Source organism: Homo sapiens, chromosome 3, assembly GCF_000001405.40.
Source record: "Homo sapiens chromosome 3, GRCh38.p14 Primary Assembly".
NCBI classification, from domain to species: Eukaryota; Metazoa; Chordata; class Mammalia; order Primates; family Hominidae; genus Homo; species Homo sapiens.
The window spans coordinates 46,983,317-46,995,868 of NC_000003.12; the positions used below are offsets into that span (position 1 = coordinate 46,983,317).

The 12,552-nt window shown below is 58.0% G+C and overlaps 1 protein-coding gene across 13 annotated transcripts in view, besides 4 other annotated features; it reads left to right on the plus strand.

Moving 5' to 3' along the window:
- NBEAL2 (neurobeachin like 2) overlaps window positions 1-12,552 on the plus strand; it is a 30,036-nt gene that overhangs the window by 3,651 nt on the left and 13,833 nt on the right. For 4 of the 13 annotated variants that reach the window (NM_015175.3, XM_011533533.3, XM_047447790.1 and 1 more), the window contains exons 2-14: window positions 5,353-5,441; window positions 5,526-5,654; window positions 5,769-5,850; window positions 5,944-6,065; window positions 6,195-6,277; window positions 7,903-7,988; window positions 8,090-8,372; window positions 8,524-8,630; window positions 9,159-9,239; window positions 10,621-10,704; window positions 11,139-11,237; window positions 11,716-12,317; window positions 12,398-12,530. In NM_015175.3, coding sequence (NP_055990.1) covers window positions 5,353-5,441; window positions 5,526-5,654; window positions 5,769-5,850; window positions 5,944-6,065; window positions 6,195-6,277; window positions 7,903-7,988; window positions 8,090-8,372; window positions 8,524-8,630; window positions 9,159-9,239; window positions 10,621-10,704; window positions 11,139-11,237; window positions 11,716-12,317; window positions 12,398-12,530 — 1,980 coding nt within the window. Of the gene's footprint in view, window positions 1-4,673; window positions 4,762-5,045; window positions 5,130-5,352; window positions 5,442-5,525; window positions 5,655-5,768; window positions 5,851-5,943; window positions 6,066-6,194; window positions 6,278-6,352; window positions 7,593-7,902; window positions 7,989-8,089; window positions 8,373-8,523; window positions 8,631-9,158; window positions 9,240-10,559; window positions 10,705-11,138; window positions 11,238-11,715; window positions 12,318-12,397; window positions 12,531-12,552 lie in introns of those variants that run through there. The other 9 variants (XM_047447786.1, XM_047447793.1, XM_047447785.1 and 6 more) reach the window with 8 other exon arrangements.
- Window positions 1,494-2,246: an enhancer, noted in NCBI's record as "H3K4me1 hESC enhancer chr3:47026300-47027052 (GRCh37/hg19 assembly coordinates)". NCBI's record gives its function as "activates a minimal SCP1, AML or CMV promoter by ChIP-STARR-seq in primed H9 embryonic stem cells {active_cell/tissue: H9 hESC(primed)}" and the evidence as "EXISTENCE:reporter gene assay evidence [ECO:0000049][PMID:30033119]".
- Window positions 3,727-3,786: an enhancer, noted in NCBI's record as "active region_19806". NCBI's record gives its function as "activates an Ori minimal core promoter by ATAC-STARR-seq in GM12878 lymphoblastoid cells {active_cell/tissue: GM12878}" and the evidence as "EXISTENCE:reporter gene assay evidence [ECO:0000049][PMID:35858748]".
- Window positions 4,567-4,746: a silencer, noted in NCBI's record as "silent region_14301". NCBI's record gives its function as "represses an Ori minimal core promoter by ATAC-STARR-seq in GM12878 lymphoblastoid cells {active_cell/tissue: GM12878}" and the evidence as "EXISTENCE:reporter gene assay evidence [ECO:0000049][PMID:35858748]".
- Window positions 7,279-7,528: an enhancer, noted in NCBI's record as "active region_19807". NCBI's record gives its function as "activates an Ori minimal core promoter by ATAC-STARR-seq in GM12878 lymphoblastoid cells {active_cell/tissue: GM12878}" and the evidence as "EXISTENCE:reporter gene assay evidence [ECO:0000049][PMID:35858748]".

Below are 12,552 nucleotides of genomic sequence, written 5' to 3' on the forward strand. Positions count from 1 at the left end.
TTTTTTTTTTTTAGACAGAGTCTCACTCTGTCACCCAGGCTGGAGTGCAATGGCATGGTCTCAGTTCACTGCAACCTCTGCCTCCCGGGTTCAAGCAGTTCTCCTACCTCAGCCTCCCGAGTAGCTCAGACTACAGGCGTGTGCCACCACACCCGGCTAATTTTTGTATTTTTAGTAGAGACGGGGTTTCACTATGTTGGCTAGGCTGCTCTCAAACTCCTGACCTTGTGATCTGCCCGCCTCAGCCTCCCAAAGTGCTGGGATTACAAGCGTGAGCCACCGCACCTGGCTTTATCTGGTCATATCCTTTTTGGGCTTCAGTTTACCTTCCTGAAATGGGTAAAGGGAAGGTGGAGTCACTTCTTTGGTGCTTGGTCCCCTGCCTCTATTACCAAGGCACCTGAAGGAGAAGGGCCTGTAGTGATAGGGAGATGAGCACACAGCCCAGGCTTGGGTGGGCACTGGTGATTCCTGGAGTTGTTATGACAACTGGGGAGCTGATGGGGAAGTGTGGGGTCCCCGTAGAAACAGGGTCAGTTACCATGGGGTCTATGGGGACCCTAGAAGGAAATTCCCATTTTCCTTAGTGATAGTAAAAGGGATTGGTCAGCTCTTGAGCCGCTTGCTTGAACCTACTTCCATTCTGTGGAGTGTACTTTCATTTCAATAAATCTATGCTTTCCTTGCTTAAAAAAAAATAGTGTCCAGGCGCGGTGTTTCACGCCTGTAATCCCAGCACTTTGGGAGGCTGAGGCGGGCAGATCACGAGGTCAGGAGATCAAGACCATCCTGGCTAACACAGTGAAACCCCATCTCTACTAAAAAAAAAAAAAAAAAAAATTAGCCAGGCGTGATGGCGAGTGCCTGTAGTCCCAGCTACTCAGGAGGCTGAGGCAGGAGAATGGTGTGAACCTGGGAGGCGGAGCTTGCAGTGAGTTGAGATCGCGCCACTGCACTCCAGCCTGGGCCGGCGACAGAGCGAGACTCCGTCTCAAAAAAAAACAAAAAAAACAATAGTACAAGGGGATGGTCAGGCCCTGGGGCAGGGTGGGTGTCATGGAGATCAGAAGGTCCACCCTTTCAGCACCCCCTCTCCAGGTAAGTGGGAGAGACTGGCCCAGCCACCCAGGCACTCAAACCACTATCCTCAGTTGTCCCTGCCCCAGCAAAGTCCCATCTTCCTGCTTCATCCCATGGCCTAACATCCTCCAAGCCTGACCTCCAGTCCTGGTGATGTAGCCAGAAGTCACGTTTAGCTTGACATTGTCCTCCCCGTCCTGATACTGAATGGGGGGACCCCCTAGGCCTGGGATAGGCTATTCCACATAAACACCACCCTGTCCCACTTCTGCTTGTCTGTCCCTGAAGATGGAGTGCTCACTACCGCCCAGGCAGCTCTGACTGAGAGGAGTCACCCACTCTTGAGCTGTGCTCTTCTCTCCCTTCCTGCTCCTAGCTCTTCCCTGGGGTCCATTAATGCCTCTTACTGTCACTCACAGAGGGGGCTGGGGGTTGTTGCCTGGAATTCAGGGAGCTCGGGCAGGCCAGAGCCCCTGGATCTGGAACTCCACTCACCTTACCCTGACCTCGAGTTGGGTAGGTGTGGCTGGAGAACTTTTACCCAAGAAGCAAAGGGATGGTTTTAAAGAGGTTAATGTTAAGTAACAAGCTACTGAGAGTTAGAACGGGGACTGGACTCCGGAACCCATGCCCTCACCTGATTCGGTTGGTGAGAGGCACCAGACAGGAATGGGTCTTACAAAGGGTGCTGATGCCCCTGATGGGGGCATTCCAGCAGAGCAAACAAGAGCAAAGCACAGGCAGACCTGTGGGGGTAGAGACAGTGATTCACGCCCTTGGGCCCAGGCATCCAGCGGGTTTGGGGTATGGAGGCTGCAGGTGAGGTGGGCACCACCCTACAGGGCCTCAGATGTGAGCTTGTGATAGGGCATGTGACTGGCTGATCAAGCCGTGATGGTGACAGATGTCTACTCGAGGCCCATTGTGCAATGGCCTTGGGGTACGTCAGGCAGGGTCTGGGAGCAGCATGGTGTCAGGCAGCTCAATGATCCCTGTCAGCTTGGCAAACAAGGTGTACTCCCTGTACTCCCCACCAATGTCACAACCACCAGCCCTCAGCCCTCCAGGTTACTTCAGAATTCCAGAGGAGTGGCAGTTCCATGCCCACCCAGGGACTGTTTGAGCCTAAGCAGCCCTCGGGAGCCCCTCACCCCCAGCACTCTCAAGTGCCCTCACAGCTAGTTGGGCATAAGTTGGGGTCTCTGTGGTGGTGCACATGAGACCCCCTCTTCCCAGGGACACCGGCCTTCCACATTCCCACAACCTTCTCCCCTGCTGCAGGACCTGGGCATCACTTACCTATGGACCCTGGAGAGGGCTTGGCAGGTGTGGCTGCTCCCGACCTGCCTTCAGTGGGGGACAGGGTTGGGGCCCTGACCCAGTTAGGTTGGGGCAAGGGGCTGGACTGTCCCTGACCCGTGTTCCTGCTCAGAGCTGGCACAACCGACCAAGGCAGAAGCTCTGAGAGGGGCATGGGAAGCCTGAGCATCATGGCCACTCCTCCCAGGCCCTGGACCCTCACATGCAGCACTGCCACCATGCTCTCGTCCCCTGCCATTCTCTGCCCTCTGACCCTGGCTCCCTGAGGGACTCCCGTACCCCGACACATTGCAGTCTCAAGCCATGGGGCCTAGGTCAGAGTTGGCCTGAGGTCTTCCAGGGAGAAACAGTGAGACCCAGGGAGGCAGGACAGGCAGCCACCCCACCCCTGCCTAATACTGTGCTTTGGAGACCTCGTCATCCCCTTTCAGAGCCCCTGAAGGCTGTCTTGATTGTCCCAGCCCTGAACCCAGCTCAGCCCAATCTGCTGAAAGTTTACAGGACTGGACAGGCCAAGGGTGTGGTTCTAGGGACAGAAAGTACTATCTACATACTCTAGGAGTATGTAGAGATTGAGGGACCCACCCCTGTGCTGGGAAGGCTGATCAAGGTGATGGCCACCAGGAGGGTGGGAGGTTCCTGCTCAAGTACCAAAAGCCCAAGTCACACAAGGCAGTGGGGCATAGGGTGGGAAAAGGCCTGGATAGGAGGATGTGAACCACAGAGGGGGAGAGGTGGAAGCTGGAGAAGCAGGTTCTGGTTGGACCAGCAGCCTGGAATGCTGCTCAGCAGTTGAGCCTTTATGGGGAGGGGTTAGACACGGTCAAATTTGGGCTTTCAGGTGCTCAGTAGAGCTGCAGCTGGCAGGAAGACTCACATTTTGAGTGACTAGCTTGACTGAGGGGCAGAAGAGAGGAAGACAGTATTGGGACATTTTTGAAGGCAGCTAGGGGTCTCTGTGGGGCCACTGAGGCAAGGATCGGGGCCCGCATGGTCCTCATGGGCTGGCTTGCTAGCAATCATGAGTGGTCCTGGCCTAGAACTAAGGTCTGGCTTTTAGCATCCTCAAAGGTACACTGAAGACAAAGTAGTAGATAAGGCATCCCCTGTGGGGCCTCCTGTTTCCCCATCTGCAATGGGAGAGGTTCAGAAGAAATGGTCCAGGGCCCCTGGCCACCTCTGCTGTCTCAGGATCTGGGTATTTTGGGCTCCTTGCTGATTGTTCGGGAGGAGGCTGCCAGCAGGAGAGGGTGGAGAGGTCAATAAATGTAACTGACAGACAAAATGTCATGGTTGTGTGGGTCTGCACCATGGTGGCCCTGGCACCTCTCTGAGTTGTCTGGGCTTCAGATCTGCACTAAACTGTACCAGGGAGTTCCCCAATCACAGGGTGGACGGCTGCTCTGCCTAGGTTTTTTGGGGATCTGGCTCAGGTCTGCTGCAGTCAGGCCTCTTGCCCTGGGGCCATTCAGGCCTTGCCCGTGGTCTGGGCCCATAGGCTGCAAAAATTAGCCATCCATCCAAAGATAGTTCTGGAGGTCCTTGGGTATGAGGCCCATGGCCCCTGGGGAGCAGCCTGAGGCCTGCTGAGTGCTGACTGTGATGTGTCCCTTGCCTCTTCATCCTTTTCCACTCTAGCTCCCCCTGTCCACCTCTCTGACTCTAGGAAAGAAGGCTGCCTTTTGGACTCAGCTGGTTAGGAGCTCCATATGGGGCCAGCCTGGAGGAGCTCCTGTATAAGCCACAACCCACCCCTGGCCCCTGGGAGGGGCTTAGAGATTAGAGCAGATACGGGCTAGGCTAGGATTTATCAGCTGTGTTCCTGAGCGAAGAGAACTGCAGAGTTCAGATGAGGTGGCCAGGACATGGCGGGCGGCGGGGCGGGACAAAGGTATGGCTGAGTCTTCTACATCGACCCCTGTGGCCTGAGGCCTTGCGCGCAGGTCAGGGAGCTGTGGGTGCCTTAAGTGAAGGGTACTGCAGCAGCAGGATCAGAACCCTCACCTGGATAAGAGCTCTTCCAGGCGCCAACCTCATGCTTGTAAAACTAGTCTTGGCCCACAAGCCCCACCCAGGACAGGTGACTCCACCCCTCTGTAACAGGTCCCACCCTCTGTGCAGGCCAGGTCGCTTGCAGCCTCTCTCACTGGGGCCCAGGGTGCCCCGGCCCCCCCACATCCCTGCGGTCTGCCGGGAGGAAGCGGTCCCCCTCCCCCACCGTGACTCTGCGCTTCCTGCCCCAGCCCCGGGGCGGGAGGAGACATTTCCCGTTCACACCAAAGTTTTCCTGGCAGCGCCTAGACCTGGGCTTAGCCACTGCCCCTCTTGCCCATGGAACCAGCTCTGGGGCCTGGGGTCCAGGTAACCAGCAAGGGTGGGTGGAGGTTCCCGGGGCAAGGCAGGGCCGCACATGAGGATGTGCGCATGTCTGGGTCTGCCTGTCTAATGGTACACGTGTGTCCTGGGATCCACAGTTAAAGAAGGCTACTGAAGGTGGTGGCTGCTGGGCTGGGTGAAGATGGCAGATGAGGACCCAGCCCAAGGCTCTTGGTAGGGGGTGGCTGCTGTGTGGGACACCTTCTCCAGCCCTAGCACCAGTGTGGGCCACAGCCACACCCCACTTACGCCCCTCCCCTGGCTGTGTCAGACCTGCCTAGGACTGCAGGCATTAGGGAGGTGGGAGCAGAAACTGGGAGGCTGAGAGAAGCAGTGGGGTGCCTGGAAAAGTGGTCAGTATGTACCTAACTCTCTGATGCTGACCTTCCAATGTCCTGCCCTCCCTCCCCCGTCCCCCACTCCCCTTCTCCACACCCTCCACTCTGCCTTTAACCCCTTGTCCATGCCCTCTGTCCACCTCCATTCATTCTTCGCCTCTGTCTACATCCCCTTGTCCCTGCCCTGTTTACTGCATCCCTCCTGCCCCCCACCACTGTTCCCCTGTTCTGCCTACAGAAGGACCTGGGTTACCTGCAGCAGTGGCTGAAGGCCTTTGTAGGTGCCTTCAAGAAGAGCATCTCACTGTCCTCTCTGGAGCCACGAAGGTGAGGCTGGATCTGCACTGAGGGCAGGGACAGAGCAGGGAGATTGAGGGGTCCTCAGCACCCGTGTCTCCCCTTTCCTTGCAGGCCAGAGGAGGCAGGTGCAGAGGTCCCGCTGCTACCACTGGATGAGCTGCATGTGCTGGCCGAACAGCTGCACCAGGCTGACCTGGAGCAAGCCCTCCTGCTGCTCAAGCTCTTCATCATTCTCTGCAGGTGTCTCTGTTGTCCACTCTACAAGCAGGGGCCTAGAACTGTGGGCCAGAGGGAGAGGGGACAAGGAGGGGCATGGTGTATTATTGTGACCTCTCTCATCATTGACTCCCCCAGGAACCTGGAGAACATAGAGGCAGGCCGGGGCCAAGTGCTAGTGCCCCGAGTGCTGGCACTGTTGACCAAGTTGGTGGCGGAGGTGAAGTGGCCTCTACCTTGGGGGGCAGAGGGTGTATGCAGGGAGGCAGGCGGTAGCCATGGCGGGGCTAACCCTCTCTCCCCACACCTACAGCTGAAAGGATGCCCACCACCCCAGGGCCGAGGCACGCAGTTGGAGAATGTGGCCCTACATGCTCTGCTTCTCTGCGAGGGCCTCTTTGACCCTTACCAAACCTGGCGGCGCCAGCGCAGTGGGTGAGACCCAGCCCACAGGAAGGGAACCCAGAGGAGGGTGGGGAGAGGATGGCCGCGCTGGGCCCAAGGAGGGGTGACGGCCAGGAGTGGTGAGAGCCGGGCTGATGTACTTGGCCTCACTGCCCCCAGGGAAGTCATCAGCTCCAAGGAGAAGAGCAAATACAAGTTCCCTCCTGCTGCTTTGCCCCAGGAATTCAGCGCCTTCTTCCAAGGTCAGGCCCCGCCCCTGCCCCCACTTGGCTCCACCCCCAAACCTAGGCCCCTTCCTGTCGTTCCTTGATCCTGCCATACACAGGAACCACTTGGTGGTGGCTGCATGCAGGACTGGGAGAACCAAAGACCAAGCAAGAGTTTAGGGACAGAGACAAGAGAAGACATCTTGGGCTGGAGCGAGGGCCTCCCATCAGGTGGAGGGGTGGGGTCAACCTGCCTACCCAGATTTCTCATCCTCTTTCCCCGCCATCTCCTGGATCCTTCTAGCCACTTGTACCCTACTGTGATCTTAAAACTCTCTGGTCCAATCCCTTTGTCCCCATAGCCTCCACGCATCTCCACCCATCCCGGAGACACAGGAGGTATCTCCACCTCCTGTTCCCTGGCTGCTGGAGGATCTGGTGCCCAGGACAGCTGTGGCTGCCTGTTCACAGGTGGTCCTGTGAACCTGTTCTCCCTGGTGACCCTCCACCCCTGGGTCCCCTCTCTCCTCTCATTGGAGGGAGACTGGCCAGGACTTTAGATAGGCTCAGGGTGGGATATGGCCTGGACAGAGGTGGGCAGGGCTGTGAAAAGGTGGTGACCTATTGGGATATTAAATGTCTCAGTGATGCCCCCATGGAGCTGTGGGCCTGGATCTAGAGTTGGGGCAGCAACTCCAGGAGGGGAGGCACCCCTAGGGAGCTCCTCGACTTTATTTTCCCATAGCCTGGGTGCTGTTATTAAAACAAACTGGATTTCATTTCTCCTCCCATCATATCCCTTGATGTCAACCTGACGTCCTCAAGATGAAATCCTACTCCTCCCACAGCCTTTCTCTCCACTTGCCCTGCTGCTCAGCCTGGCTTCTGTCCTCTCATTCCCAGACTGCTACCACTGACCCCACCTCAGGGTCTTAGCCCATGCTGTGCCTTCTCCCCTCCAACTGCATTCTCAGGTCTCCCCTCAAAAGCCCCATCCCCAAGGAGGCCTCCCACCCATCCAGCCGGAATCAAGCCCCAGCCCTACTCTTCCTCCTCTGCCAGGCATGTGACCCGGGGCTAGTCCCTTCTGCCCTCTGAGTTTCAGTCCCTGGCCTGGCATCCTGTCCAGTTTTGCTGGCGCAGGGCCAGGTGGGCCTCCTACGTATTAGGTTGTGAAAGCCCCTAGAAGTCCCAGGCAAAGGCATGGGCGTGGGGGGAGGTGGCATCAGTATAGTAGATACAGCAGAGTCCCCAGAGCACGGCATGGGAAGCACCAACCGTCACAGGGCAGAGGCAGCAAGAGATTTGCATCTGAGAAACTAAGCCCTGGTCATCATGGGGAAGTGGAAGGGTATGTGCTCATGCTGGGGCCCTCACTTTGGGGCTTAAGGATCTGGGAAGCTGGCTAGACTCTCAGGGCTGGTCTTTGTCACCCTTAAGTCCCCCAAAGAAGGGTTGTCCCTTTCAGGCCCTCTACTATACAGCCATAACTCCTTAGATGCCCCCCAGGGCAGAGCCAGCTCTTATCCCTCACACTGGATCTTTTACTTGGCCCAGCTCCCTCTCCCCTCCACCCCAGGGCACTCACCTCTTGTGCAGCCCCCTGGGTCCATAGCCCTGCAACCTTGGTGACATTACCCTGCCCACACCCCCCTACCCAGAGAGCCTACAGAATGCAGACCACTTGCCTCCCATACTGCTGTTACGTCTCATCCACCTCTTCTGCGCCGTCCTCGCTGGAGGAAAGGTAGGCTGGGAGGTGAGCCTGTGGACTAGAGAGCAGCTCTTTCAGTATCTCTCTGCTGGGTGAGCCCCTTGCCCACTGCCCATCTCTGTCCACACCTGCAGGAGAACGGGCAGATGGCTGTAAGTGATGGCTCTGTGAAGGGCCTGCTGAGTGTGGTGCGGGGCTGGAGCCGTGGGCCAGCCCCGGACCCGTGCCTAGTGCCACTGGCTCTAGAGGCACTGGTAGGTGCAGTCCATGTCTTGCATGCCAGCCGCGCACCTCCTCGTGGCCCAGAGCTTCGTGCCCTGCTTGAGAGCTACTTCCATGTCCTTAATGCTGACTGGCCAGCTGGTCTGAGCTCAGGCCCCGAAGAGGCCCTTGTCACCCTCCGGGTCAGCATGCTCGGTGGGTATGGGCTCCCAGGCTCTTGGGGAAGGGGCACCATGAGGGAAAAGCCTAAGTGATGATGGAAGGTCTGGATAGGGCAGCATAGGAAGGAAGGCTTAAGGCTGCCTAGAGGGGTCTGGGCAGGGCCTGACCCTTGACCCTTCCACAGACGCCATCCCCATGATGCTGGCATGTGAAGACCGGCCAGTGCTGCAAGCCACCTTCCTCAGCAACAATTGCTTTGAACACCTCACTCGGCTCATTCAGAACAGCAAGGTGGGTAGGGCCCAGCCTGGGGGTGAGGGTCTGGAAGCCAGAGGCTAGGGGAGCCACGCATAGGTGCCAGGCTGCTGCTGAGCAAACATGGGCTGGACAGAGTCAGTGTTTTGCAGCTGGTGGGATGGCTTGCAGTTCAGTGGGAGGGTGTGGGGCATGGACAAGGGCCCATCCCTTGGGGCCTCTATAGGACTGGGCTTGAGGCTTAGGACATCTTTGTGCCCCATGGAAGCGGGGCTTGTTATGGAAGGAAGGGAGCTGCTCTGGTGCCTTGTTTCCCTTTCCGTGGCCCCAAGTACAGGGGCTAGAGGAGGGCACCACTGCTTTCAGATGCAGTGCCTGCTCCCACCCGCTCATCCCCCCGACTGCCCATCTGAGCAGGGCACAGGGGGCTCAGCACCCTACTCTTCCCTAGTGCCGGGCAGGGCACCTGGCAGCTGCCCCTGGTCCTGCTCTAACCCCACCCTCTCCCATCTTCCTCCTCTCTTCTTTGCCTCCTCCACCCTGTGCCTCCCCACTTCCCCACAGCTGTACCTGCAGTCCCGGGCGCCCCCCGAGGGGGACAGTGACCTGGCTACCCGGTTACTGACTGAGCCCGATGTCCAAAAGGTACCATCCTGGGGCTGACCAGCTCAGACACCCCCTGGGACTCCCTCTTTGAGCTTTTCCTGCACTATAGCTGGGGAAATGAGCAGATGTGTGTAAGGCCTGGTGTGGTCTAGAAATGGGTGTGGGTCCTCCATGCTGTCTCGCCTGCCTTCCAAGTCCCCATCCTAGGGAACAGGACAGAAGGTGGTCTATCCCCTGCCTGGTGTTTGATTGGGTGTTGGGGGTCTGGCTGTGCCAAGCTGGATGGAACCTTCGAAACTCAGCCACCTACCTCATTTCTCAGAAGGGGAGACAGAAGCCCAGACACTCAAGGATTTGGCTATAGTCACAGAGAAAGGGGTCTCCCTCATGGTGCCATTTCTTTCTGTAGATTCTTGCACCCACCCTCAGCGGGTCACTGGGTGTCCCCCAGCCCCTGATGATGTGATCCCTGATTCACCTTGCATGTGGGCTGTAGGAGGCTGCAGGGTGTCAGCTGGCAGCTTCACAGCGGGCACCCTTTCTGGGGGCTCAACCTGTGGGCCCCAACCTCCATAGCCCCTACCCTGGCTCTGTCTTCATGAGGTAACCCTATGTGTTCACCGCATGTGGTCATTTTCTTAGAGCTTACACGTCTATTCATCTGCAAAGCAGGCAGGGCAAAGTGACTCCCCTCTGTTTTTACAGATGAGGACACTGAGGCCTGGAGGGGGAGGACTGATGCCTTAGGTCACTTGGGGAGTCAGGCAAAGCTGGGACCAAAGGCCCCATGGAGCCGAATATGACCTAGTCCCTGCTGAGAAACTCTCCAAGCCCTCCCAACCCCTGACCCCCTCAGGGTGGGGCAGGAGAGGCAGCAGCATGCCTCTGGCTGTCAGGTTCAGCCAGGCTGAGCCTCAGTGCCCCCACCTGGATCTAGGGGGAAGGGGCAAGGTGGGACTTAAAGGTCTCGAAGGTTCTTCTGGTTCTAACATCCTGTGATTGATTGTCCCTAAATCTCTGACCCCTGTCAATCACTGTGGGTGATGGGGCACTTGCTGGCCTGTCTGTACTCATGTGTCTAGCTTTAGGGAGACAGGTTGGGGGTAGGGCCCTAACTCCACTAGAGAAAGGGGGACTGGAGGGTGCAGTCAGAGTGTCCACCATTAATCTGTCCCAGTGAGGCCCTTCCCAGCCTTTGTTAGAGTGGGTCTTGCTGAGCTGCTCAGAGAGGGCCCTAGGTCATGATAGGGTCACAGCAGTTGGGGCAAGGAGTAGAAGGCCTGGTGCTCTGACAGAGTTGCTGATCCAGCACATGCCACATGCCTTGGGGTGCTTGGCTCTGCACCTTTTTTACTGCAGGGGGCTGCCAGCTGTGACACCCTGGCCCCTGCCTCTCCTGATGGCCCCTCCCCACCCCAAGGTCCTGGACCAAGACACAGACGCCATTGCAGTCCATGTAGTCAGAGTGCTGACCTGCATCATGAGTGACTCCCCCTCGGCCAAGGTGAGGCTGCTGCACTGCAGCTTTAGTAGGGGTGCGGGGTGGAGTTCAACTGACCATATCCCCAGAACAGGCCTGGCCGGTGGCCATAAGCATCCTGCTCCCTGGAGCAAAGCAGGCGAGCTGGGAGGTGACTGCCCTGCCCTAAAGCTCACTGGGCAGGTGTGGTCGCCAGTCTGTCCTGGGAGCTGCATCTTCTCTGTCAGGGCTGGATGGGGAATGGACACTTGTAGGCCCACCTCCATCTACAGCCTTCTGAGATGTACTCACGTCCCCCCCATCCCTCTGCAGCCCACTGCCCACCAGCACTGTCACCCAGAGGCAGAGCTACGCAAGGGAACCCCAAAACATGATGCCCCTCCAGAGTTTCCAGGGGGTCTGAGTTTGCCCTCCGGCCCATGTATGTGTTCACTTCTTCCCCATACTACCTTACACAGGAGGTGTTTAAGGAGCGCATCGGCTACCCTCACCTGCAGGAGGTTCTGCAGAGCCATGGTCCCCCCACCCATCGGCTGTTGCAAGAGCTGCTCAACATGGTGAGGGAAGGGGCTTGGGACCAGGGTCCCAAAGGCAACCAGAACTGAGTCAGGGTTACCACAGATGGTGAGCTCTCCACCCTGGGGGACCGTATTGACTGCGGCCAGTACATACTGTTACCTGTAGCCTGGCCATGTCTGTTAGTGTCACTGGAATGAGGATTCTGGCCCTGTAGGGGTCCTGGAAGCAACTGCATGTGAGCAAGCCCCAGGATTATCTTAGGAACATGCAGTTAGGGGTTAGGCCAACCCAGGCTGAAAACTAAGGTTGAGGGATTAACAATGCTGAAGGACTCTTAGTAGTAGTGACTGTCATCTGTGCCCCTCTGACTTTCCTGAGCCTCACACACAACCTGTGGGCAGGATGGAGTAGATCATGTTGCTGACTGCTGCCGTAGGCAAGTAAATGGAGCCAGAAAGTCCCACTGTTGACAGGGTGCCACAGCTGACCAGGGACTGTCATTCTCTCCACCCACAGGCTGTGGAGGGTGACCACAGCATGTGCCCACCTCCACCAATCCGCAACGAGCAGCCGGTACTGGTGCTGGCGCAGTGGCTGCCGTCATTGCCCACCGCTGAGCTGCGGCTCTTCCTAGCGCAACGCCTCAGGTGGCTCTGTGACAGCTGCCCTGCCAGCCGTGCCACCTGTGTGCAGGCAGGCCTGGTGGGCTGCCTGTTGGAGACACTCAGCACAGGGCTAGCCCTGGAGGCCCGCTGCCAAGAGCAGCTGCTGGCACTGCTACAAGCACTGGGCCGTGTATCAATAAGGCCCATGGAGCTGCGTCACCTGCTGCGCCCCCGGCCAGGATTGGACTCGGAACCAGGCGGAGCTGAGGCTGGAAAGGCCCGACACGCAGGTGCTGTCATCCGCACATTATCAGGCATGGCCAGGCACCAGGGTCCTGCACGTGCTCTGCGCTACTTTGACCTCACGCCCAGCATGGCGGGCATCATGGTACCCCCTGTACAGCGATGGCCAGGGCCTGGCTTCACCTTTCATGCCTGGCTCTGTCTGCACCCTATGGATACAGCACCTACCCCTGCCCCCACCCGACCACTCCAGCGAAAGCAGCTGTACAGGTGGGTGACTGCCAGGGGCCAGGGACCTCCTGCCAGGGTGAGCAGGAACAAGCAGACATAACTGGCTTGCCTGCCCCCAGCTTCTTTACCAGCAGCGGCTCAGGGTTTGAGGCCTTCTTCACGGCGGCCGGGACCCTGGTGGTGGCTGTGTGCACACGGAAGGAGTATTTGACCATGAGTTTGCCCGAAGTGTCCTTTGCCGACTCTGCCTGGGTGAGACCCCATCCTTCTCATG